This window comes from Homo sapiens, chromosome 4 (assembly GCF_000001405.40).
Source record: "Homo sapiens chromosome 4, GRCh38.p14 Primary Assembly".
NCBI lineage: Eukaryota > Metazoa > Chordata > Mammalia > Primates > Hominidae > Homo > Homo sapiens.
In genome coordinates, this window is record NC_000004.12 from 28,411,974 (window position 1) to 28,439,653 (window position 27,680).

At 35.7% G+C, this 27,680-nt stretch overlaps 1 long non-coding RNA gene across 3 annotated transcripts in view, besides 1 other annotated feature; it reads left to right on the forward strand.

Annotated features, from left to right (window-relative positions):
* LOC105374557 (uncharacterized) overlaps positions 1 to 27,680 on the forward strand; it is a 485,690-nt gene that overhangs the window by 294,464 nt on the left and 163,546 nt on the right. The window contains exon 1 of one of the 3 annotated variants that reach the window (NR_188399.1): positions 23,578 to 23,817. The exons of the other annotated variants lie outside the window; for them this stretch is intronic. This is a non-coding gene — a long non-coding RNA (uncharacterized LOC105374557). Of the gene's footprint in view, positions 1 to 23,577; positions 23,818 to 27,680 lie in introns of those variants that run through there. 3 annotated transcript variants of the gene reach the window in all.
* Positions 20,018 to 20,519: an enhancer, noted in NCBI's record as "H3K4me1 hESC enhancer chr4:28433613-28434114 (GRCh37/hg19 assembly coordinates)". NCBI's record gives its function as "activates a minimal SCP1, AML or CMV promoter by ChIP-STARR-seq in naive H9 embryonic stem cells {active_cell/tissue: H9 hESC(naive)}" and the evidence as "EXISTENCE:reporter gene assay evidence [ECO:0000049][PMID:30033119]".

Below are 27,680 nucleotides of genomic sequence, written 5' to 3' on the forward strand. Positions count from 1 at the left end.
TGGAGGCATCACACTACCTGACTTCAAAGTATACTACAGGGCTGTAGTAACCAAAACAGCATGGTACTGGCAGTAAAACAGAGATATAGACCAATGGAACAGAACAGAGCCCTCAGAAATAATACCACACATCTACAACCATCTGATCTTTGACAAACCTGACAACAACAAGAAATGGGGAAAGGATTCCCTATTTAATAAATGGTTCTGGGAAAACTGGCTAGCCATACATAGAAAGCTGAAACTGGATCCCTTCCTTACACCTTATACAAAAATTAATTCAAGATGGATTAAAGACTTAAATGTTAGACCTGAAACTATAAAAACCCTAGAAGAAAACCTAGGCAATAACATTCAGGTCACAGGCATGGGCAAGGACTTCATGTCTAAAACACCAAAAACAACGGCAATAAAAGCCAAAATGGACAAATGGGATCTAATTAAACTAAAGAGCTTCTGCACAGCAAAAGAAACTACCATCAGAGTGAACCGGCAACCTACAGAATGGCAGAAAATTTTTGCAATCTACTCATCTGACAAAGGGCTAATAACCAGAATCTACAAAGAACTCAAACAAATTTACAAGAAAAAAAACAAACAACCCCATCAAAAAGTGGGCAAAGGATATGAACAGACACTTCTCAAGAGAAGACATTTATGCAGCCAACAGACACATGAAAAAATGCTCCTCATCACTGGCCATCAGAGAAATGCAAATCAAAACCACAATGAGATACCATCTCACACCAGTTAGAATAGCGATCATTAAAAAGTCAGGAAACAACAGGTGCTGGAGAGGATGCGGAGAAATAGGAACACTTTTACACTGTTGGTGGGACTGTAAAGTAGTTCAACCATTGTGGAAGACAGTGTGGCGATTCCTCAAGGATCTAGAATTAGAAATACCATTTGAACCAGCCATCCCATTACTGGGTATATACCCAAAGGATTATAATTCATGCTGCTATAAAGACACATGCACACATATGTTTATTGCGGCACTATTCACAATAGCAAAGACTTGGAACCAATCCAAATGTCCATCAATGATAGACTGGATTAAGAAAATGTGACACATATACACCATGGAATACTGTGCAGCCATATAAAAGGATGAGTTCATGTCCTCTGTAGGGACATGGATGAAGCTGGAAACCATCATTCTCAGCAAACTATCTCAAGGACAAAAAACCTAACACTGCATGTTCTCACTCATAGGTGGGAATTGAATAATGAGAACACTTGGACACAGGAAGGGGAACATCACACACCAGGGCCTGTCATGGGGTAGGGGGAGTGGGGAGGGATAGCATTAGGAGATATGCTTAATGTAAATGACAAGTTAATGGATGCAGCACACCAACATGGCACATATATACATACATAACAAACCTGCACTTTGTGCACATGTACCCTAGAACTTAAAGTATAATTAAAAAATAATAATAAAGTATTGTATGCTTCCAAATTCCAGAGAGATTTTAAATGTTTTCACTAGAAAAAATGTTAATTTAATTATATGAGATGACATGTATGTTAATTAGCTTGAAGAACATTTCACAATGTATACAAATATCATGTACCCCATATATAAAATTTTTATTTGTTAATTAAAATATTTATTAGAATTTTAAAAATAAAGTGCTTTAACTTAATTTCAAAAAAGAAATATGACTAACTTAACTTTCAGGTACTTGAGATTCAAAATATTTTTTAAAAAGTAAATAAGATAAACACCATAGAACGTTAAATAAAATACTTTCTATTGAAAAAAATCTTGTTATTTTTTGACTCTGATCAAATGTTCTATTCCTGGAAGGCTATGCTTGGCTCTCCAAGGTAGACTTTCATACTGGCTATCATTTGCTTACCCAAAGAAAGCCATGTTTAGATTTGCTTTTCCAGACAACTTAACATTATTGACTTTTGATATCAGAAATTTAAGCAATATTATAAAACAAAAACAAAACAATACACAAAAATGTATTCCAACACTCTATTACCTAGTCAGTGCTTTCAATTATCTCTTGTAATTGCACATTGTAAGCTCCCCAGAGTATCTTTTGGTTGGCTGACTAATGGTTTATTATCTGTAAATGGCTTTTAAAAAAAAATGTGTTCATGAAAAAAGAACATCTTTGCATCAAGTTGTCTCTGATAATAAATATTAAGATGTGCATAATGTGCAGTTATAACATATTAAATAATGAATTCATTATAAATAATTTATTAAAAATCCTACTACATGCTGAACAAAGTTTTAGTGACAATGTATAGTAGTTACTAAATTAACTTAGGTGATGATTAAATTTTCAAAATGAGAAACTTGAATGAATCTTTTGCATATTAACATTATACTCAGTCTTACAGATGTCAAAGCTTAGTAACATAAGTAGGTTGCTTATACTATATCTTTGTCCCTTCTTGAAAAATAGAATGAAACAAATTTTAAAAAATTGATTATTATTTCTCAAATGAGGTTTGTGACGATTGTGTTGGTCTTTTCTTCTTTCTCCTTTTCTCCTTCCTCTTTCTCCTCCCCCTTCTTTCTTCTTCTTATTAGTATACATATTCCTAAAATCAGTTACTACTTTTTACTGGCAATGGCCAAATCTCTCTCTGCAGTTCATACCTCTCCCCTGAGTTTCAGAATACTCGTGGAATTTTTTTTTTTTTTTAATCGAAGTCTCACTCTGTCGCCCAGTCTGGAGTGCAGTGGTACAATCTTGGCTCACTGCAATCTCTGCCTCCCGGGTTCAAGCGATTCTCCTGCCTCAGCCTCCCAAGTAGCTGGGATTACAGGCATGGACTACCATGCCTGGCTAATTTTTTGTATTTTTAGTAGAGACGGGGTTTCACCATGTTGGTTAGGCTGGTCTTGAACTCCTGACCTAAGATGATCCACCCACTTGGGCCTACCAAAGTTCTGGGATTACAGGCATGAGCCACCGCGCCCGGCCTACCAGTGGATCCAGTGGATTTTGTATTCTGTTTCTCTCTAGTATAATTCCAAGCACAAAGTGATATTGATCCTATGAATGACAAACTGATGAATAAAATGTCAACAGCTCACCCTATTTAGCCTTATGATGGCCTCTTATTCCCAATTCAGTATACTTTTATTTCCTACCTTATCTTTACAAAATATAGACAAAGGAATATATTAAAAAGGGGGGAACCAAGAAAGGGGAAAGCCAAGAGCTGAAAAACAAAATTCTGATAAACCTAGATCAAGGTGCATCTGAATTATAAAATATATTTATTAATATGTTTTTATTCATTTAAATAAAGGCCTAGAATTGTGCTTATATTATTAAATTGATAGGAGAAAATGCCTTGTTATTAGTATAGCCATCTTTTATGTCTTCATTTGTATGGAAAGACATGTTCCTAAGATATTGAAAACATCTGGTGTTTCATTGGTTTTAAATATACTCTTCATATTTTTGAAAACACAAATTATAGAAAGCTTATGGGCAGTTACCTAGTCCAATCACTCATTTAGTGAAAAAGGAATATTCACTTCAGTAAAGTCAAGTACGTTTCTGATTATTACACAATAGGTTAAGGGCAGAACTGAATCTATAACTCTCACTTTCTAAAATATTCCAGTGTCTTTTTCCACATATCTAAGAGTTCATTAGAATCATTGTTCCTAGATCTAGTGCAAAGGCAAACTAGAGTAAATGTTTTTTCCTGAATTATATTGAATTTTGAAATAACATTTTACAAATACATGCATTTATTTTTGTTTTATTATGTGTGTGTGTATGTGTATATTTGTGTGTACATAAACACACACACAACTGCTAAAATCCTTGGAATTTACTGAATAGTGGGAGTGACTTTTGATATTCATAATAAACCATACCTGAGAGTTCTTTTTTTTTTTTTTTTTTTTTTTGAGCAGGAGTCTTGCTCTGTCACCCAAGGCTGGAGTACAGTGGCGTGATCTCAGCCCACTACAACCTCTGCCTCCCGGGTTCAACCGATTCTCCCAACTCAGCCTCCAGAGTAGCTGGGATTAAAGGCATGTCCCACCACATCTGGCTAAGTTTTGTACTTTTTAGTAGAGACGGGGTTTCACCATTTTGGCCAGGCTGGTCTTGAACCTCTGACCTCAAATGATCAGCCTGCCTCGGCCTCCCAATATGCTGGGATTACATGGGATTACAAGAGTGAGCCACCGCGTCCAGCCCATACCTGAGTTTTTGCTAATGAGGTGATGGTGCAAAACTTTAGAAGGAAGAGGGAGTTGGCCAACAGAAAAGATCAAACTCATGAATAAAATGGGAATTTTCACCTCCATCTTCCAATCTCTTGGGCAGAGAGGAAGGCTGGAGATTGAGTTAGAAATCCTCTTAAACAAGATTTGGAGACTTTCCAGGTTGGTGAACACAGCAATGTGCTGGGAAAGTGGTAGGCTGCATCCACAACCCCATCCCTACCCCACACCTGGCTTCATGCAACATCCTATTTTGCTCTTTCTGAATTGCGTCTTTTATAATAAACCAATAATTATAAGTAAAGTGCTTTTGTGAGTTCTGTGAGTTATTCTAGGAAATTATGAAACCTAGGAGAAGGCCCTGGGACCCCCTCCCACAATTGTTTAGCCAGCTGGGAAGAAGTTTGGGTTGCCTGGGGCCCTATTTGTGGCTGATCTCTGATGTGGGGTAGGCTCCTGGGATGAAGTCCTTAACCTTTAGGGTCTGGACTAACTCCAGGAGTTAGTGTCAGAATTTTATTGATTTCATCTACTCCCAGTTTGTCAGAGAGTTGAAGAATTGTTTGATGTAGAAAAACATGTACTTGTTTTAAGAAACACACATGGCCAGGCACGGTGGCCCATGCCTGTAATCCCAGCACTTTAGGAGATTGAGGTGGGTAGATCACCTGAGGTCAGGAGTTCAAGACCAGCCTGGCCAACATGGTGAAACTCTGTCTCTACTAAAAACGTCAAAATTAGCCAGGTATGGTGGTGCACACCTGTAATCCCAGATACTCAGGAGACTGAGACATGAGAATTGCTTAAATCTGGGAGGCAGAAGTTGCAATGAGCCGGGATCGTGCCACTACACTCCAGCCTGGAGACAGATTCCATCTCAACACACACACACACACACACACACACACACGCACTTAATTTCAGAAGTGGTGTCAGAAAATGCTACACAAGGCTGTAAAGGATGTGTGTGTGTGTGCACACATAGAGGTTTTATAACACACACATATGTGTGTGTATATATATATATGAAGGGTATATATTTTTATAAAGCTTATATATGCTTATATACATACATAGACATATATGTGTGTACTTTTAAATATATTTTATAGGTCTATATAAATGCATACATACACATACAAACACATACATAATATATCCTGCAACATAAACTAGTCAGTAGTTAGAAAAGTTTGCATAGGACAGACTTATACTAACAAAGTACTCATAATTTATCCTAAATTTAAATTAAAATGGGAGTCTTTTATTTTATCTAGCAACCCTAAATATAAAGCATTTTCCTAGATGCCATAACTCACACCTTCAAATCAGTGAATTTTTTCCTGCTGGTTTACTTAAAATAGGTTTACTGCAATGTTACTCTGGGTTGGCAGAAGAGAGAAAGTTTGAGAATTAGGAGTCAGTAAACATCTTAAGCAGACATCAATTGTAGAGGCCTAGATTTTTAAAATACCTTATTATTCTGATGTGTTAATATTAAATCATATCATCTTCAACTAGCAAATGCTACAGTGTTAACATGTGCATATAAGTCAATTGCTTGGAACTTGACAATTATGCTTTTCAGAAATAATATTCTATAAGACTGTCAGCTCCCCTAGGCCATATTACAAAAGCCTATTTGACAAATAACATAGTTGAACTACTTGTTAAAATACCATTTGAATTATGCTTTAGAACTCAGGACAAAGTGGCCCAATTTTATTCCTCCTTCTGTGAAGCCGAGTGGGCTCTTCTGCCTACACAACTTATTATTGTATCTTAGAAAGGATGTTGACCTCCCAGCAGAGCTGGCAATTTGTATAATTAAGAGTTTTCTAAGTTTTGTATTAGTTTCTCAAGGTTGCTTTCTATTCTATAGAAAATAAATTTGCATCAATTTCTCTTTTTTAAACTGTCTCTTATTCTTATGTCTTATAATTTGCCCTAACGCTCTTTATGTCGATATTTCACTGCATCCTCTCAAGCATGTACTGAGGGAATTGTACGATTATGAGGGAGAGAAGCAGAACAATCAGAAACAGCACCGCCGTTTTTGAGCATGGATGATATACCAAGCACTGTGTTATGTGTCACTCTACAGGTTACAGATAACAGTTCTTATAGCCGTCCTGTCATTTACATCAGCAGCCGGCAACTTTTTTGGCACCAGGGACCAGTTTCATGGAAGCCAGTTTTTTCCCAAGGGGGTGAGGGGAGGGTGTGGTTTGAGTCATGATGGTTTCAGAACATCAGGCATTAATTATATTTTCATAATGAGCCTGCAATCTAGATCCCTGGCATTTGGAGTTCACAGTAGGGTTCGCACTCCTATTCCAATCTAAAGCCGCCACTGATCTGACAGGCGGTGGAGCTCGGGCATTAATGCTTGCTGCTCCGCCTGCTGCTCACCTCCTACTGTAAGGATGGGATCCTAACAGACCACAGACTCTGGTACCAGTATATGCCCTGGGGGTTGGGGACCCCTGACTTAGATGAGACTTCTCTTTTACAGAAGAGAGAAATGAGTCACAGAATGATTATCCAAGATAGTGTAGACGTGGTAAATGGTGCAGGTAGGATTTAAACACATATTTTTCTGACTCTATAAACACCTGTTTTCATTCATAATGTTGTTTGGGGGTAGAAATCCCATAGGTACAGTAGTTGAGAGCTGAACTATCTTAGCATACCCAAGCAATTCAAGTGGACAAAGCTAGATATTTTGATTGAAAATGTTTTACATAAAAATAGCCCTATTGAGTGAAACAATGGAACATAAAAAGTTTTCTATTTGTCTTATAGTCTATGTTCCAAATTTTTACCTCCTTTGTTTACTTGTTTCTTGTGATATTTACACTGATACAAGACCATTATATTATACGGAGACTGAAAACTCCAGAAAGTTAAATTTATAAAGGCAGTAAGAGGTAATGCAGATTTTCAAATGTGACCTCTGACTTTGTGTTTATTAATTTTTCTAATAATTTTTTTTCAAAATATTATTGTTCCAGGAGTGTTTCATATTACATTTGTCTTAATAAGACTTTCAAGTTGATTTAGGATACTCCAGATGAATTACTTGAAAACAGAAATTAAACGATGCTATCAAATGTATCTTCTCTTAATCTAATACTTCACAAAAAATTGCAAAGCTTTCTAAGCCATATTTGGTGGCACGTATTTTGTATTTTTTTCCACACTGTAGAAGGTTTAAAAATAGTGATCATAAAAACAATTACCATATTGGATAAATATATAACTACTGTCCTTTGAATGATTACTATGTGCCAGGTATTATGCTCAAACTTTTACAGGAACATTTTCATTTAATCCACAGAAATAAGAAAATAATTAGAACAGAGTGGATAGCTTTCCTAAACAAAGTTATTACAGTAGTCTTTTACTGTTAGTAGTCTTACTAGTACACATTCTTTTGTCCCCCGAGTTTTGGACAAATGTGTAAAACAAATGAAACATTACAAAAAAGCAAAAATATGCAAGCATAATATTGCAACTGATCAAAAATACACAGGAAGCTCACAGGATAAATGAGGCATTAACACAGGGTGACTGTCTTATTTTAACAAAAAAAGAAGAGAAACATTTACCTCATTAGTTTACTATTCACTCCTGAAATGACAGACTCCTGGGAAATGTCATAGAAATTCTAGAATGTCTTGTCCAGCCTCCACAGATTTCTAGTTATCCTTTTGTGTACTAATATCGTAGCTACTTTTTTGCAAACATCCTCAAAAATAGCTCAATGCTGTTACTAGGAGCAGAAAGGAAACTTCTAGGCCTTCCCATACTCTTCCAGGGGTCCCACAACAAAACTTGCTAAAAGATTTCCTAAAGTTAAACCAGAACTCTTCTATGCTCATTCCACACTATGGAGTTTTTAATGCTTACTCTCTTTTTTATGTACCTGTTCAAAATTAACTCTCATTTGCTTTTCATTGTTAACTGTCTGTGTTTCAGGTGAAGAGATGCATGTAGCTGATTTCCATGTTTAAATAAATGCAGAGCATTGATATTTTTAGCATTGGTCTCAGTGGCAGAAAATAGTACAAGAACTCTAATGTAACGGATAAAGCATAGATTCTAACCCCAGATAGAGTATGTTCAAATGTATGTTCACATGTATCTGTGTACAGAGGTTTATACTACCAAAGGAAATCAAAATATTTCACCTCTTGAGCAACACAGAAAAAGCACCACTGATCCCTTCTTGGGAGACTCTGTTTTTTTCACAAAGCCTGAGGAGCCGTGGGTGGATTTCTCTCAGGTCTGAAACTCTGCTCTCTTTTACATTGAGCCCCCTGATCACTGGGCTTTTGAATATATACGTGTGTGCATGTGTGCATCATATATTGTATTTACATGTATTTATATGTCTGTACATGTCCTTGTGTATAGTCTACATGCTACGAAACTGACTGAGAAATATATAGACACTCCCAAATTAAATAGCTAACCTAAATGCTTTTCAAGTTCCTGTGATATGGGTACATCTTTGTGAATAAGACTATTAAACATTGCTGGTTTAGTAGAAACAGCTTGTCTTATAAGTTATCAACAAAATACTCACGTAATTAACTTTGGGGGTTTTTCTTTCATGGTAATTGCCTAATGTGCATGTACTATAAAGCTGGTTAATAGAAAAATAACTCGAGATAATGACTAAGCATTGTCTAGTATCTCAAAAATGTTTCTGTAATTGTTAAGGATGAAGAAATTAAATAGATACAGGTGCAATAAGAGTCTATAAACATACTTCTTTTACAATAATTATGTTTAATGATATGTTTACTTTAAAGATTTTCCAAATTCATTCGTAACTATACACTTAAACTTTTGCCAAGTTAAATTGAATGATAGCTATTCATAGAATTTTCAAATAAGACAAACTACTGAAACATTAACAAAGGGTTTAAATATATTTACTTGTTGCTTCTCATTACAAAGAAACAGAATATTTTTTGATTTCTTAGTATGTTCCACATTCAAAACTTTGAAGATTCCTATATATTTAGAAATTATGAAATATATATTCATAAAATATTGGTATGTGACAATTAAAGTGAGTTAATACCTTGGTTTTCACTAGAAATGTAGGTTACTATATGTATCAGGCCACTCTTGCATTGCCAGAAAGAAATACCTGAGAGTGAGTAATTGATAAAAAAAAGATGTTTAATTGACTCACAGTTCTGCAGGCTGTACAGCAGGCATGGCACTGGCATCTGCTTGACTTCTAGAGAGGCCTCAGGGAGGGAATACAAAGAGGAATAGGCACCATATCACATGGTGTTTTAGTCCATTCTCACGCTGCTATGAAGAAATACCTGAGACTGGGTAATTTATAAAGGAAAGAGGTTTAATTGATTCACAGTTCCATAGGGGTGGGGAGGCCCCAGGAAAGTTACAGTCATGGTGGAAGGGGAAGCAAATACGTCCGTCTTCACATGGTGGCAGGAAAGAGAAGTGCTAAGCAAAAGCAGGAAAAGCCCCTTATAAAACCATCAGATTGGCCGGGTGCGGTGGCTCACACCTGTAATCCCAGCACTTTGGGAGGCCAAAGTGGGCGGATCACGAGGTCAGGAGTTCAAGACCAGCCTGACCAATATGGTGAAACCTTGTCTCTACTGAAAATACAAAAATTAGCTGGGCATGGTGGCATGCGCCCATAGTCCCAGCTACTCAGGAGGCTGAGGCAGGAGAATCACTTGAACCAGAAGGTGGAGGTTGCAGTGAGCTGAGATTGCACCACTGCACCCCAGCCTGGGAGATAGAGCTAGAATCTGTATCAAAAAAAAAAAAAATCAGATCTTGTGAGAACTCACTCATTATCACAAGACCAGGAGCGTGGGGGTAACTGCCCTCATGATTCAATTACCTCCCACTAAGCTCCTCCCACAACAGGTAGGGATTATGGGAGCTACAATTCAAGATGAGATTTGGGTGGGGATGCAGCCAAACCATGTCACATGGTGAGAGTGGGAGCAAGAGAAAGAGAAGGGGGAGGTGCCACACACTTTTAAAAAAACAGATCTCCTGAGAACTCACTCACTGTTGTGAGGATAGCACCAAACCATGAGAGATCTTTTCCCATGGCCTAAACACTTCCCACTAGGCCCCACCTGCAACATTAGGGATTACAATTCAACATGAGACATGGTAGGGACATATATTCAAACTATATCATTATGAGTTAAAATTGTCATTAACATCTGTAATTTAAACTACTAGAAATAAGGGGAAAATTTGGTATGCAAAGTGTACAAGAAAAGCAAGATATATTTTTGGTAAATAAGTTTATAATGAAAGCCTGAGGATGTGGTTTTTGTTGAAGAAAAAGTAGTAGTGTTTACAGGTTGTTTAAGGGTTGTTTCAGAATGAAAGAATACAAAAATAAATTATATACCTAAAGCTGAATGAATATCAATGTTATAAAGGTTATACAATTTTATAAAAGAAATTTTACATGTGATAAAATGCGCTAAGATTAAACAAGTTTATTATCAGGGTTTTAAAAATTGCACTTTAATATCCAAAAATACATTGATATAAAACTAGAATTTGTTTTTTATTTTAAGCATGATGTTTGTATAATATTGATAAGATACAGTAACAGATTTTTGTTTACTTTTTAAGTCAACTGCAAAAACAAAAAGAAAAGGAAAAACAGGGAAGAGAGACAGAAAGACATTCTGTATCACGCTGTCTTTATTTGGTGTTTTGTTTAAATTAATAACTATGATCTCATAATGATCTGTAATTCTATTATAATCAAGTGTTATAAACCTTTACATATTTGGCAGACTTTCCAAAATCAAATTCCAAGAACTAAATTAAGGCTTTTCAACCTTAAACTAACTTTTGGACATTTCAGAAGGGCCACTGGAAACATAGGAGAAATATATTAAACTAATTGGCCTTATTTGCTATGTTAAAATTATACAGAATTTATTGTCAATAAATTATATTTAACATTCTTTGAGTAATATTTATATAAATATGTTATTGGTATATTTGCATGAAAATTGTATAAGCTCCCTAGAAATTAATGTTTTTAGTCATCATTTTGGTTATGTTAAAATGTTATGCCACAGAAATAACCTAATTTTATTTTTGATTGTGGAGTATAATAAAGTCCCATCAGGTCTTTAACCATGGCCACTTTAAGTCTTTTTGTCCACTGGTAATTGCTTTATTCTGATTTTTTGGGGGGGGGATTTAACAAGTAATTATAATTCTAAAATATGTGTCAAGCAATCCTAAGATAAAGGAACAAAGCCAAAGGAATTACATTAACTGACTTTAAACTATACTATAAAGCTATAGTAACCAAAGTAGCATGGTACTGGTACAAAAACAGGCACATAGACCAAGGGAAAAAATAGAGAACACAGAAATAAAGCTAAACACCTATAGCTTTGACAAACTCAACAAAGATTATAAATGAGGAAAAACTCTCTTCTCAATAAATGGCTCTGGGATAACTGGCCATCTTTATGCCAAGGAATGATACTAGAACTCTACCTTTAACTATATAGAAAAATTAACTCAAGGTGAATTCAAGACAAATGTAAGACCTCAGACTATAAAAGCTATAGAGGAAAACCTAGGAAGTACTCTTAGTGTCAGTCTTGGCAAATAATTTGTGGCTAGGTCTTCAAAAGCAATTGCAGCAAAAACAAAAATTGATAAGCGAACCTAATTAAAGAGCTTCCTTGGGGAGGCCAAGGTGAGCAGATCAAGAGGTGAGGAGATCGAGACCATCCTGGCTAACACAGTGAAACTCCATCTCTACTAAAAATACAAATTAGCTGGGCGTGGTGGCATGCACCTGTAGTACCAGCTACTTGGGAGGCTGAGGCAGGGGAATCGCTTGAACCCGGGAGGTGGAGGTTGCAGTGAGCCGAGATCGTGCCACTGCACTCCAGCCTGGGCAACAGAGCGAGACTACATCTCAAAATAAATAAATAAATAAATAATAAAAAAAGAGCTTCCACATAGCAAAATAAATTACCAAGGCAGTAAACAGATCATATATAGAATAGAAGAAATATTCACAAACTATATATCCAACAGAGGTCTAATTTCCAGAATCTATAAGGAACTTAAATTAACGAGCAAAAAGCAAATAACTCCATTAAAAACTGTGCAAAGGATATGAATAAACATCTCAAGAAACAATATACAAGTGGCCCAGAAACATATGAAAAAAATGCTCATCATCACTAATCACCAGAGAAATTACAGATATTGGCAGGGCTTCAGAGAAAAGGGGACACTTATCCACTATCAATTGGAATGGAAATTAATTCAGCCACTGTGGACAACAGCAGGGAAATTTCTTTAAGAACTAAAAGTGGAACTACCAGTTGATCCAGCAATCCCATTACTGCGTATATACCTAAAGGAAAATAAATCATTCTACCAAAAGAACACATGCACCCATATGTGCATTGCAGCACTGTTCATGGTAGAAAAACCATAGAATCAACCCAAGTGCCCAGCAACAGTGGATTGGATAAAGAAAATGTGGTACATATACACATATACTATGCAGCCATAAAAAGAATGAGATCATGTCCTTTGCAGAAACATGGATGCAGCTGGAGGCCATTATCCTAAGTGAAGAGAAAACCAAATACCACATGTTCTCATGTATAAGTGGGTGCTAAACATTGAGTATACAGGGACATAAAGAAGGGAACCATAGACACTGGGGACTACTAGAGGAAGAAGAGGGGGAGAAGAGCAAGAGCTGAAAAACTACCTATTAGGTACTATGCTCACTACTTGGGTGACAAGTTCAGTCATACCCCAAACCTCAGTATCATGTAATATACCTTTGTAACAAACCTGCACATGTACTCTCTGATTTTAAAATAAAAATTGAAAAAGAAGAAACATGCACACACACATATAGTCATATATACATATATAACTATATATACATAGTTTTATACATATAGAACTTCATACATATATAACAATTATATACATATATAACAGTAAAACTATAAAACTTCTTGATAGAAGTTCTAGTAAATATATAACTAATGAAAAAGATAATAAAGTGTTGTGTCTTCAAAGAGATAAAATCATATCTTAAAGATGTTGAGGGATCAGGTCCAGATCACTGCAATTAAGCAAATATTATAATGCAAAGAGTCCCAAAAATGTTTCAATTTCCCAGTGCATATAAATATTATGTTTACACAATACTGAAGTCTGTGAAGTGTGCAATAGTATTATGTCTAAACAATGTATGTATATTAATAAATACTTTCTTACTAAAAATGCTAATGATCATCTGAGCCTTCAGCATGTCAAAATCTTTTGGCTGGTGGAGGATACAGCTTCAATATTGATGGCTGCTGACTAATCATGGTGATGATTGCTGAAGTTTGGTGTGGCTGTGGCAATTTCTTAAAATAAGGCAACAATAAATTTTGCCACATAAATTGACTCTTTCTTTAATCCATGATTTCTCTGTAGCATGTAATGTTGTTTGATAGTGTTTTGTCCACAGTAAAACTTCTTTCGAAATAGAGATCAATCCTCTCCAGCTGTTCCACTGTCTTATCAACTATTATTCTGTAATATTCTAAATGGTTTTTTGTCATTTCATCAATGTTCACAGCATTTTCACCACAAGTAGATGCCATCTCAAAAAATGCTTTCTTTCCTTATCCAGATGAGGGAGTTACTTATCCATTCAAGTTTTATTGGAGATTTCAGCAATTCAGTCATATCTTCAGGCTTCACTTCTAATGCTAGTTCTATTGCTATCAACCCCATCTGCAGTTACTTCCTCCATTGAAGACTTAAACCCATCAAAGTCATCCATAAAGTTTTGTATCAACTTCTTCCAAACACATGTTCATGTTGATATTTTGACCTTCTTCCATGAATCACCAATGTTCACAATGACATTTAGAATGGTAATTCCTCTCCAGAAAGTTTCAAATTTACTTTGCCAATATCCATTAGAGGAATCACTGTTTGTGACAGCTATAGACACACAAAACGTGTTTCTTTAATAGTAGGACTTGAAAGTCAGAATTACTCCTTGATCTATGGCTGCAAAACGATGTTGTGTTAGCAGGCATGAAAACATCATTCATATCCTTGTATCTCTCCATCAGCCCCCTTGGGTCCAAAAGCAACAATATTTTGAAAGACATATTTTATTCTGAGCAGTTAGTCTCAAAACTGGGCTTAAAATATTCAGTAAATCATTCTGTAAACAGATGGGCTGTCACCCAAGATTTGTTGTTCCAGTTATAGAGCACTAGCAGAGTAGATTTAGCATAATGCTTAAGGGCCCTAGGATTTTTGAAATTGTAAATGAGAATTGGCTTCAAGTTAAAGTCATCAGTGCCATTAGCTCCTGACAAAAAAAGTGGGCCTGTCCTTTGAAGCTTTGTTATTTATTATTTTATTGAACACCTATTTGTATGTATTTATGGGGTACATGTAATATTTTAATACCCAGAAAAATGTGTAATGATTATATAAGAATATTTATAATATCTGTCACCTCAAACATTTATTATTCATTTATGTTGGAAAAATTTCAGATTTCTCTTCTAGCTATTATGAAATATACACAATATTGTTGTTAACTATGCTCATCCTATTGTGCTGTTGAACAGTAAAATATATTTCTTCTATTTAAATGTATGTTTATCCCAGTTAATCTACCTTCCATCACACCCACACCCTGACACACACACCCTTCTCAGCCCCTGGTCTGAGATGATCTTACTCTTTCTCCATGAGAACAACATTTTAGCTTTCAAATTTGAGTGGGAACACACACTTTTTTTCTGTGCTTGGTTTATTTTACTTAATATATTAACTTCTAATTCCATTCAAATGACAGGATATTATTTTTATGACCAAATAGTATTTTATTATGTATATATGCCACTCTTACTTTATGCATTCATCTGCTGTTAGACACAAAGGTTGACTCCGATCTTTCCTATTGTGAATAGTGCTGCAATGAACATGGAAGTGCAGATGTCTGTTTGAAATAGTGAATCATTTTATTTGAATAAATACCCAGTAGTGATATCACTGAATCATATGGTATTTCTTTTTGTCTTTTGAGAAATTTTCAAGTTGTTTTTTATAATGGCTATACTAATTTGCATTTCTACCAACAGTGTATAAGAAATTCCTTTTATCTGCCTTCTCACCAGCATTCATTTGTTTGGTTCTCTTTCCTGATAATAGCCATCCTAACTGGGGTAAGATGATATCACATTGCGGTTTTGATCTGCATTTCCCTGCTGAGTAGAGATGTTGAACATCTTTATATTCTTGTTGGCCATTTGTATGTCTTCTGTTGAGAAATGTCTATTCAGTCAGATCTTTCAAATGCTTTTAAATGTGATCGTTTTACTGGTGTTGAGTTATTTCAATTTCTTATATATTCTGAATTTTAGTCTCTTGTTGAATGAAGAGTTTGCAAATATTTTGTTCTGTTCAACAGTTAGTCTCCTCATTCTGTTGATTGTTTTCTTTGTTGTACAGAAGGCTTTTTAGTTTAATATGGTCCTATTTGTCTATTTTTTTTTTTTTTGCCTGTGGTTTTGAAGTCTTAACCATAAAGTCTTCACTTACGCCTATGTTCTAAGGCATTTCCTCTATGGTTTTGTGTAGTAATTGTATAGTCTTGAGTCTTAAGTCTTTAATCCACTTTGAGTTGATGTTTTGATATAATGAAAGATAGAGGCCTAGTTTCATTTTTCTGCCCGTGGATATCCAGTTTTCCCACACCATTTACTGAAGAGGACATCCTTTCCCAAATGTATGTTCTTGCCACCTTTGTTGCAAATCAGTTGACTGTAAATATGTGGATTAATTTCTGGGTTCTTTATTCTGTTTTATTGGCCAATGTGTCTGCTTTTTGCCAATACATGCTATTTGGTTATTATAGTCTTATAGTATATTTTAAATTTAGATATTGTGATGCCTCCAGTTTTGTTCTTATTGTTCAGAAATACTTTAGTTATTAGGGCTCTTTTTTGGTTCCATTCACATTTTAGGGTTTTCTTTTCCATTTCTGTGATGAATGACATTGGTATATTTTCAGGGATTGCATTAAAACTGTAGATTACTTTTGGTAGTATGGTCATTTTAAGGATATTAATCATTTCAATCCATGAACATAGGATTTTTTCCATTTACTTGTATCATCTTCAATTTATTTCATCAATATTTTGTAGTTTTCCTTATAGAGGCCTTTTCCCTCCATGGTAAAATTTATTCCTAGGTATCTTATTTTATTTGTAGCTATTGTAAAAGGGACTTACATTTGGTAAGTTATTTCTTGGTTTATTTTTCAGATTGTTCAGAGCTGGCATATAGAAACGTTACTAATTTTGTAAGTTGATTTTGTAACTTGCTACTTGACTGAATGTGTTTATCTGTTCTAAGAATTTTTTGGTGGAGTCTAGGTTTTTCTAAATTTAAAATCATGTCATCTGCAAAGAGGAATAATTTTACTTTCTTGTTTCAATTTGGGTGCCTTGTATTTCTTTATCTTGCCTGTTTTAGCTAGGGCCTCTAGTACTCTGTTGAATAGAATTGATGAAAATAATCGTTTATGGTGTTTTCTAGTTCTTAGAGAAAAGCTTTTAGCTTTTCCCCATTCAGTATGATGTTAGCTATGGGTTTGTCAGATATGGCCTGCATTATGTTGAGGTATGCTTCTTCTGTGCTTGAGAGTTTTTATCATGAAGAGATGTTGATATGTTGATTTTATCATATCCTTTTGCTGCATCTATTAAGATGATCATATATTTTGTGTACTTAATTCTGCTGATGTATCACACTTATTAATTTGCTTATGCTGAATTATCTTTGCATCCCTTGGATAAATCCTGTTTGATCATAGTGTATTATCTTTTAGAGGTGCCATTGGATTTGGCTTGCTCATATTTTGTTGAGGATTTTTGTGCCTTTATTCATCGTGGATATTGGCCTGAAGTGGGGTGTGTGTGTGTTTGCATGTGTTTGTGAGGGTGTGTGTATGTCCATGTCTGAGTTTGGTATCAGGATAATGTTGGCCTGGGAGAATGAGTTAGGAGGAATTTCCTTCTCCAATTTTTTAAAATAGTTTGAGAAGAATTGATATTAACTCTTCTTTATAAGCTTAGGACAATTTGGCAGTAAAACCATCTAGTCATGAGCTATTTTGGAGGGAGACATTTTATTACTGATTCAATCTCATTACTTATTATAGGGCTGATCAGGTTTTCTATTTATTCCTGATTTAATCTTGTTAGATTGTATATGTTCAGGAATTTATCATTTTCCCCTAGATCTTCCAGTTTATTAACATATAGTTGTTTATAATGGTCTGTAAGAGTCATTTGTATTTCTGTGGTATCAATTTTAATATTTCCTTTTTAATGTACGATTATGTTATGTTTCAGTCTTCTCTGTTTTTTTCTTGGTTAGTCTAGAAAGTGGTGTTTTGATTTTGTTTATTGATTTAAAAAACAACTTTTAGATTCATTGATTTTTGTACTGTAACTTTAGCCTTTATTTCACTTAATTCTGCTTTGATCTCTGTTATTTCTTTCCTTCTACTAAATTTAGGTTTGGTTTGTTCTTAATTTGTTAGTCCCTTGTGGTGCATAATTTGGTTTGAAATCTATTTTTTTGATATGGGCATTTATTTCCATAAGCTTTCCTCTTAGTACTGCTTTTGCTGTATCCCGTAAGTTTTGCTATGCTGTCTTTACACTTTCATTTGTTGCAAGTATTTTTTAAAATGTTTTCTTAATTCTTTACTAACCCAATGGTTACCAAGATCATGTTGTTTAATTTCTATATATTTGTACAGTTTTCAATGTTTCTCTTGTTCTTGAGTTCTTGTTGTTTTTTTTTTTCTTTTGTATCATGCTGGTCTCAGAAGATATTTAATAAATTTTGGTTTTTATAAATTTGTTGAGTGTTTTTTGTTTGTTTGTTTTTGATTTTTGGTTTTGTTTTGTTTTTTTGCCTAACATATGCTCTGTTTTAAAGAATGCTCCATGTGCTCATGAGAAGAATGTGTATTTTGCAGCTGTGGGATGGAGTGTTCTGTAAATGCCAGTTAGGTCTAAATGAAATTTAAATGCAACTTTTTTTGTGGATTTTTAGTCTATAGACGATCTGTATAATGCTGAGACTAGGATGTTGAAGTCTCCAACTGTTACTGTAATGGAGTCTCTCTTTAGATCTAATCATGTTTACCTTATATCTCTGGATACTTTGGTTTGGGTGTATATATGTTTAGAATTGTTATATCTTCTTGTTGAATAGATCCTTTTATCATTATTTAATGTGCTTCTTTTTTTTTGTACTGTTTTTGACTTAAAGTCGGTTTTATCTGACTTAAGTATAGCTACTTCTGCTCATTTTTGGCTTCTGTTTGTGTGGAAAATCCTTTTCCATCCAATCGCTTTCAGTCTATATGTCCCTTTACAGGTGAAGTGAAAATATTGTAAGCAATTTACAATTAGGTAATGCTTTTTATCCATTCAGCATGTCTATATCTTTTAAGTAGGTAATTAAAGCTATAGATATCCAAGGTTATTATTATATACATATTTGTGCACTACTCCTGGGGGCCCTGAGGACAAGCCAGCCCAACCTGATCTCTCTCTCTCTCTCTCTCTCTCTCTCTCTCTCTCTCTCTATATATATATATATATATATATATATATATATATATATATCCGCATATGAATATATACTGACTGGGTTATTCCCAAACACATCTTCAAGTTCTATAATTTTTTATTCTGTTCGAAGCTCTTGATTACATTTTTGTTTTATGTATTATAATTTTTAAATCCAGAATTTCTGTTTTTTTATTATCTCTGTTGAATTCTTATTCAGATCATAAATCATTTTTCTTATTTTTTTGTATTATTTTTCTGTGTTCTCTTATCTCACTAAGCTTTTTTAATATCATTTTTGGTTGTTTTTCAGGCATTTCATGGATTTTTTTTGGTTGAAATCTGTTGCTGGAGAATTATTGTGTTACCTTAAAAGCATCATGTTTTCTTGCTTTTTCATTTCTTGTGTCCTTGTGTTTGTATCTGCACATGAGTTGTAACAATCACTTCTTCCAATTCTTTTTGATTTACTTTCCTAGGGGAAGACATTTTTTTCTGTAGATGTATCTACAGTGTTGTTTGGGTAGGGCACTTTAGACTTGATTCTGTGTGTGTGCAGTATAGTTTTTGTATGATTACTTTGGTTGTAATCAGCATCAGTGGTGTCTGTTAGTTCCACGGTTGCCTATCCTGCACTTGTTAGTGAAAGCTGTAGTGAGGCTCTGCTGGGGATAGAGGTGTCAGAAAAAACTAGTTTTTGGTCCCCAGTAGTTGTCACTGTGAACTAGGCAAGCCTTTCTGTTATTGGGTTCGTTGGAGGCATAAGTGGGCACTGATAGCAGACTTAGGCAGGTTGATTCTTAAGCTTCCAGGCTGCTTGCTTAAGAATCCAGCAGCCTGGAACTGGGATTGTGGGCAGCAGGTTTTGTATCAGCAATACAGGTGATACTAACAATATAGATGATACAGGAAATACAAGATACTATCAAAGGCAGGCCAACCCTCAGCTCTCAGGTGGCACACTTTGGTTTTGGCAGTGGTGGTGGCAGCAGATTGGGCTGGCTTGTCCTCAGGGTCCCCAGGAGTAGTGCACAGACACCAGTGATGGTGGGTGGTGTGGAGGGACTCTGGCCACTATATGACATGCTTGGGCACCAGTGGCTGACAATCTGAGCCTTTTTTAAGGCTCTTTAATGGTGCATGTGTGCACCAGAAGCAGCAGGCAAGGAAAATTGATCCTCAGGTCCCCGGACCGAGTTCTTGCATATAGGGAGTTGGCACCAGGTGGGGTGGGCCTGTCCTCAGGACCCCAGTAGTGTGCACAAGCACAGGATGTGATTGGCAGAAAAGGATGATCTCCAGGTTCCCGAATGGCATGCTTGAGTGCCAACAGCAGGGAAGCTGCGCCATTTGTCAGGCCTTCTAATATTGCACACGTGCACCTGGGACAATAGGTGGGGTGAGTCAGCCCTCAGTCTCCCTAATGGTGCCCATGGGCATAGGCTGTGGCAGGCCAGGTGGAGCAATCCCTAGGCCCCAGCTGGTGTTCTTGTGTTCCCGTGGCAAGCAGGCTGGGTCTTTTGTCAGAACTCTTGATATTTCACACACATATCTGAGTCTAAAGGTGGGGTGGGTCATCCTCAGGCCCTTGGGTGGCATGCTCGGGTGGTGGTAGCAGTGAACAGGGCAAGCCTGTCCTCAGGCCCCAGAATGACATTTCACGGGGCCTATCTCCAGGCCCACTGAAGGTTCATGGCGGAGCATGGCCACCCTGCTGCAGGGATGGGGTCAAGGTTGCTGAGTGGCAGCAGCCCTAGTCGGGCAGCTTGCAGGCTCTGGAAAGCATGTGCTCCAGCTCCTTTTGTCGTAGCTGCAGCCTCCCTGGTGTGCTGCACCCATCATTCCCCAGGGTGCAGAACATTGTGTGAGATAGAATTCTCAGGACCCTACATACACTGGAAGTGCCAGCTGGTGTTCTGTCTCTGTAGCCCTCCAGGTGGGCATGCGAAAATGTCAGTTGGGTTCCAGGAATGTGGAAATGCAGGATACAGTCTGGTGGAGGGTGGGCTCTCATAATGTCTCCATTCAGCAGCTGCTTGGGTCTCAAGAGGTGTGTAGGACCCAGCATGAACTCCTTCTCTGGAACTGTGTAGTTACTCAGACTCCAGACAGCTGCCTATCCTAGTCTCAGGGCCTGCAATAACCAAGGGGCTCTCTTATGGCTAGGATTGTGGGAGTTTTCAGTGAAAATGTGGAACTCTAGGAGTTGCTCAGTTACCTTTTCCCTACACTGGGGAGCCACTACAGGCTCCCAGCTAATGTCAGTTGGTTCAGCTGCCTTGCATCCCTTTCTTCCTGTGTCTCCATGTTCCCTGTCATTTCCCTGCAGAATTCCAGTGTTCTCTCTTAAATGCTGTATTCAATGTGTGGTTACCTACTCACTGTCCTTCTATGCAGGAGATGAGTGCTAAGTGTCTGTAGCCAGCCATTTAAAGCCTCTCCTCACCATTTCTATGAGGCTTTGAAGTCAGTCATTGACTTCTTCTCTGTAGCTATGAGAGTCCAACAGGTCTGTTTCATCTAATTGATAATCTGTTGTTTAGTGTAGCCACCTTTTCTCACCCTAGATATAATTAAAGAGTTAGGGTCTTGCTCTGGATTAGGCTTTGGCTTCATACAATGTTGCAGCTGGTTTGATCTTCTATCCAGATCACTAAAACTTTCTCCATATCAGCGATAAGGCTTCTGCACTTTCGGGTCATTTACATGTTCACTGGAGTAGCAGTTTTAATTTCCTTCAAGAACTTTTTCTTAGCATTCACAACTTGGCTGTTTGGTGAAAGTAGCCTAGCTTGTGGCCTATCTCAGCTTTGGATATGCCTTCCTTACTAAGCTTCATTGTTTCTAGCTTTTGATTTTAAGTGAGAGACATGTGACTCTTCCTTTTACTTGAACACTTGGAGATCACTGCAGTGTTACTAATTGTCATAATTTCAATATTTTTGTATGTCAAGAGATAGCTAGGGAGGCTTGAGGAGAAGCTGGTCAGTAGAGCAGTCAGAACACGCTTGATATTTATTAATTAACTTCGCTGCCTTCTATGGGTGTGGTTTGTGGTACCCTCCAAGATTATAACAGTAACAGCAAAGATCACTGATCACAGATCATCATAACAGATATAATAATAATTAAAATGTTTGAAATATTATGAGAATTAGCAAAATGTGGCGCAGAAACATGAAGTGAGCACATGCTGTTGGAAAAAATGGAGCCAATAGAACTATTCTACACTGTGTTGCCACAAAACTTCAATTTGTAAACAATGCAGTATCTTCAGAATACAATAAAATGAAATCCAATAAAATGAAGTATATCTGTATATGGAAAGAATAAAAAGAACCCTAACAAATACAGGGCTCTAATAACTTTGAGTCTATGCTATTAGTCTAAATTTCCAGAAATCTAATTTAAAACAAAACTGGGGTCAAAAAACTGCTAACCTAACATTAAGCAAAATAAGAATTAATTGTATGGGATTGAACTGACAAAAAATTATAATTTTTAATGTGCTTTTGTTTAAAACATTGCTCATTATTTTTTAATTTTCCAGATTTAAGTTAACTTTGTTTTAACCTATATATAATTTGCAGCAATTTGGTAATGCATACTATTGTAAACAGAATTGAAATATTTACCTTCCTGTCTACCTAATCTCTCTAGAATTTAGAATTTATTCGTGAGTATTCTTATTTTACGGCAATATAATTATTTGCAAAATTTCAATAAGAATGTCTTTGTTAACAGCACACAATTGGAAATCTGGTTCTTTCACCAAGGTTTTGAAAATAATGTCATATTTTCTGATCTGACCAGATAGCTTTCAGGAACCGAAGTGAATCATAAAGCCAGTAAAAGTCCCTCAGAAAAACTGGCCTCATATACCTTGTCTACACCCTTCCCTTGTAGGTTTACTGGCTTTATGATAAGTAAAGAATGTAACTTTCTGACAGGCCCAGGAATTTCAAAATATTTTGAGAACTTTGAGAAAAGAGAAATTTACCAATTTGTAGAAGTATTACAGATGCAGTCAGATGGTAAGGCTTTCTCTTGGCTCCTAGCCTTCACAGGCCTTTTAAAAATCTAACCTGAAGTCACTTACAAAAAATTCCAGCAAAGCCAGCTTTTTAAAAGCCTATATTATCAATCACTGTTCTTGTTACACTTTATGCAAATAATCTTGTCAAGTGAATGAGACTAAACTTATGTTTCAAACGAATTAGTCTGACTAAATATCTTTGGTAGAAATGGGAGTGAATGTTGAGAGAAAAATTGTGTTTAAAAAAGGCAAGTATAGTACATCTGTTATTAGATTCTAGCTCATTATTTTGAGGATTTTATTCTTTATCTACAGTCTGGACTAGATACTGAATTCTTTTAGTTTTTTTTTCAATATTAAGCTTTGAATCTCCAAACTAATATTTTTCAAATTTCCTCCCATCCTTCTGATTTTTTTCAATTTTCACTAAAATTGAAACTGCTTTTCCTGAGGCTTTGAATGCTGAAGCTAGTCAACTTGATAAATATAATTCAGAGAAATTACCCTGATGGCTTGCAGATGGACAAGCTTTATAACATTGAAACTGCAAACCAGGAAATTCTGTCAGTTTGCCACTGCCTGCTCTGCTCCAGCTGAAAATACTTTAGCTCAGGTTCAGAAATCTTCTCAGTGAGCTGCTATTCAGACTCAGAAAGTAGCTTGGAGAATACTCCAGACGTTAGGCTTTGCGAGTTTTTGTTTGTTTACATAGAAAAGTCTCTTTTAAATTTCCTTATTCTTACACTGCAAAGAGACCTAACCTTGATGGGTCCCATCTGCAATGCTCCTCCTGAAAAGAGACAGAGCTGTTTAACTGAACTGACCTATTTGGAGGACGAATAGACTGATTGAAAAAGGTATGTGGTAATGTATTCAAATTTGAGATGTTGTTTCCCTGCTTTTTCCTATATATGCTTTCTCCTCTCTTGTCTCAAAACTTTTAACCCAAATCTCTACATAGCTACCAATTCTTCTCTATTACGTGAAACTTTCTGAAAATTAAATTTCAAATGGGGAACCGAAGGAAACCAGCACATTTTACTTGAAAATATACTTCTGTATATATTTCTGTATAAATCCAAAGATTTATTTTCCTATTTCCTTTCCTAAACCAGAAGGGAAAGTCAAGCTGGGCACTGCATCAGGCAAACCTGCCTCCTATTTTATTCTTATATAAGTTAGCTACAAATTAAAAACAACTACACATCTCCCTCACGATTTGTCCACAGGAATTTCCTTGTGGGCCTCAAGATCTTTACCCTCAAACACTTCTGTTGAATTTTACCCAAGCCATGTAAATTACTAGCTTATTTCACAGGTGCCAGACAAAGGACAGTCAGAATTCAGTCATTCCTCTGCTCACCTGAGACAAATGCATATCTGATTACTACCTCTGTCCTATCATTTACGTAAAAATGCATATTCAGTGAGTCAGACTAAAGGCATACGTGACTATCCCTCTACCCTCCTCTCTCATGTAAGTTGTGTATTCAGTGAAAGAATGATCAAAGTCCCAAAAGAATGCAACCTTTTGTCTCTTATCTACCTATAACCTGGAAGACTTACTTTGAGTTGTCCCACTTTGCTGGAATAAACCAAAGTACATCTTATACATATTGACTGATGTCTCACGTCTCCCTAAAATGTGTGACAGCAAGCTGTGATCCGACTACCTTGGACACATGTCTTCAGGGCCTCCTGAGGCTGTGTCACAGGCACGTCCTTAACCTTGGGAAAATAAACTTTCTAAATTAATCGAGACCTGTCTCAGATACTTTTGAGTTCACACGTGTTTGACATATTTTGCTATGACTATTTAGAGGGGCTACAATCCACAGAAATAGCTCTGAAAAATTGTTCTCTTGTGGGGGAGATTTCTGACTGCAGAGAAAATCTACAGTAGTGAGGTAAACAGTGGTTACTGAGAAGAGCATAAATCACCCAGTGACCACTGAACAGGCCTCAGAGACGAAAACTCCTTATCTGAGGAATTTAGAAGGGAGCAAAGACCACCTGGTGACCCTCAAACACGCAAAACTGGGGAATGTAGAAGTAATTAAACTTCGCTAGTATTTAAAGTCAGTATCTGCTTCCAGACCTCTTTTAAACTTAAAATGTATAAGTAACTAGAATTTCTATACATCTCTGGAATGCCATGCCAAAACTCACTGTACAACACTTGCTTACGTTAAGGCACCAAAATTACTACAAATGTGATTATTTGTCATGACCTATGTGGCTAGTATGGTCCAAATTACCCTTAAGCTCCTGGCTTAAGGTCCATAAATACTCCTAAGGAAAAATAGAAATGACATAACTTATCATTCTAATGTTTCCATTGCTATCTGTTTTTACTCACCATATCATAGCTCAAGATTAACGTCCATAAACCATACCCCTACAAAATAAATTCATTGTGCCTTATTGGCTCTATTTTCTCAAACTTTAATCAATTACATAAACTTTCGTTGCCTGAAATTCTAGAATAACCAAATTTGTATCTACCACTCAAATATTTCCATGATTTATGATCAATATTTAGTTTTGTGTTTTTAAGGATTTTATATTTCCAATTTGTATTGCCTGGCATCATATACTAATATGAAGATATAAACGTACATCTATCATTCAACTCTTCTTAGTTTCTTAAGGTGGTTATTATGCCTTAAGATCTTTTTTTTTATCATGAAATATACCAAACGAAGTACCTTCTTTATAACACAGGTTTAATAAACATATTGAAAAAAAAGGTGTTAATTAATGAGAGGATTAAGCACTCAATTCTAACAAAAATGAATACACATTACAAGTTTTTAAACCAGTTTGAATTAAGGGTTTTTTTTGTTTTGTTTCTTAGTTTTTAGAAAAGTAGAATTAAGGAATCCAGGATCCAAATGAGATCTCTATGTCTTCCAAACCTGCTTTAAAAATTTTTCTCCCTTGTTTTAAGTGTTAGAGAGATGCAAAAGATAGTATTCGGGATTATATAATTTTGTTTATGACTTTAGTTATTGAACAGAAAATAGTTTAATCAATTAACACAAATACTTAGAAAACATTTTTCTACATATATAGAAAAGTAAAGAGATAAAGAGTTTAAAAATAAAAGTAAAGAGAAAAAAACAGAAAATAGGTCAGAATTGGGATAAGAATTCTAAGAAATTGGGAACGTTAAAGAAAAAAGAGAATTAATCACCAGAAAAAGAATGCTAGCGATTAATTCAATAGAATTATGTTCAAAACACTTCATGCGATGGTAATGTCGTAATATCCTACTTTTACTCATACATGGTTGCTCAAATTTTATAAACAATGATGCCTGAGGACCCTGTTCTTCATTAACCTGTCTAACCTTGATATGTAGAAACAGTTTAATGTTTTTTCAAATGCCATTAGTAAGCAGAAGTAATTTCAATTCATAAAACTAGGGCAGGAAGCAATTGACCCAATCAGACTGTTGCATTCCCCAATGCCATTTTTTAATTAGAAGTTTGTAACATTTTTTTTCTAGTTCTGAATTTCAAAGATCTCTTAGATTTAAAAAGTCTGGTTATCTTACAAAACTAAAATTCTGTGAGCCCCACATCATGTGACAACTCTGAAAATGCAGCTCTACTGCTTAAACTAGATTATTTGATTGAACCAAAATGGCATCACATTTTGCCCCAGATGATTTTCATGGATGACTCTTGGCAGACAAATTTTTACAATGCCACATTTATATGTTTGTTTTCTTTTTGACTGTTATTTTTTGGATTCAGGGTATATGATTATATTCTGAAAATATTAGTATATATCTACCAAGAAACAGAATAAATTACACTTTAAATATTAGTCATGTTACTTTATTGGAAACCAGAAGTCTCAAGGACATAAATGTCTGAATAAAGAGAAGGAGAAAGAGGAAAGGAGGGAGGGAAAGGAGAGAGAGAGGGAGAATTTTCTGTAAGCCTGGAGATGTCATTGGAATATGTGGGAAACAAAATGGAAGGAAGGAAAGAAATGGGAGAAAAGGGAAAGTAATATAAAGGGTACTTCAACGGTTTTCTTCATTTTGGCCTTGGGAAACCTAAGACAAAGTTAAATTAGAGAATAAAAATAGTAATATAAGTGACATAATTTTTCCACCTTATTTTCCATGTTGTGGCCCTGACTGCTATTGTCTATATTTCAAACTAATAATAATAATAATAATACCAAATGAAAATCTTTGAGAAATATGTCTTTCTTTCTCCAGTGCAGTGAAAATAAATTAAACCAAATGTCTCAACTAAGGGAAGCTCATAGTAATCTCCAGTGAAAGGGTAAATATTCTTCAGAAAACATATTAGTAAGATAACTTTTCAGTCAGCAATAGTTCTAGAAGTATTGATACAAAAACTCTGGATACCATGGAGGTTTAGTGGATGATCCTAATCAATTTAAAGTCAGCTAATGTTTTGTCCTGAGCAGAAGAACCAACCAACTTAAAATATGACATTTATTCTTGTTTTCTTCCTGGCCAGAATCTGATGTCACCAAGTTTTGATATATTTATCTTCATTCAACACATATTTGGATATTTACTATTTGATGCATACTATTCTAGGAACTCATGAATTACTGGTAAATCAAAGCCTAGTACCTATCAGCACTTTATAAAAATCCTTCTTCTCTTCTGCAAACAAATAAATAGTAGATGCCAGGTGTCAGTAAATTATAATACATAGGCCAAATCTAG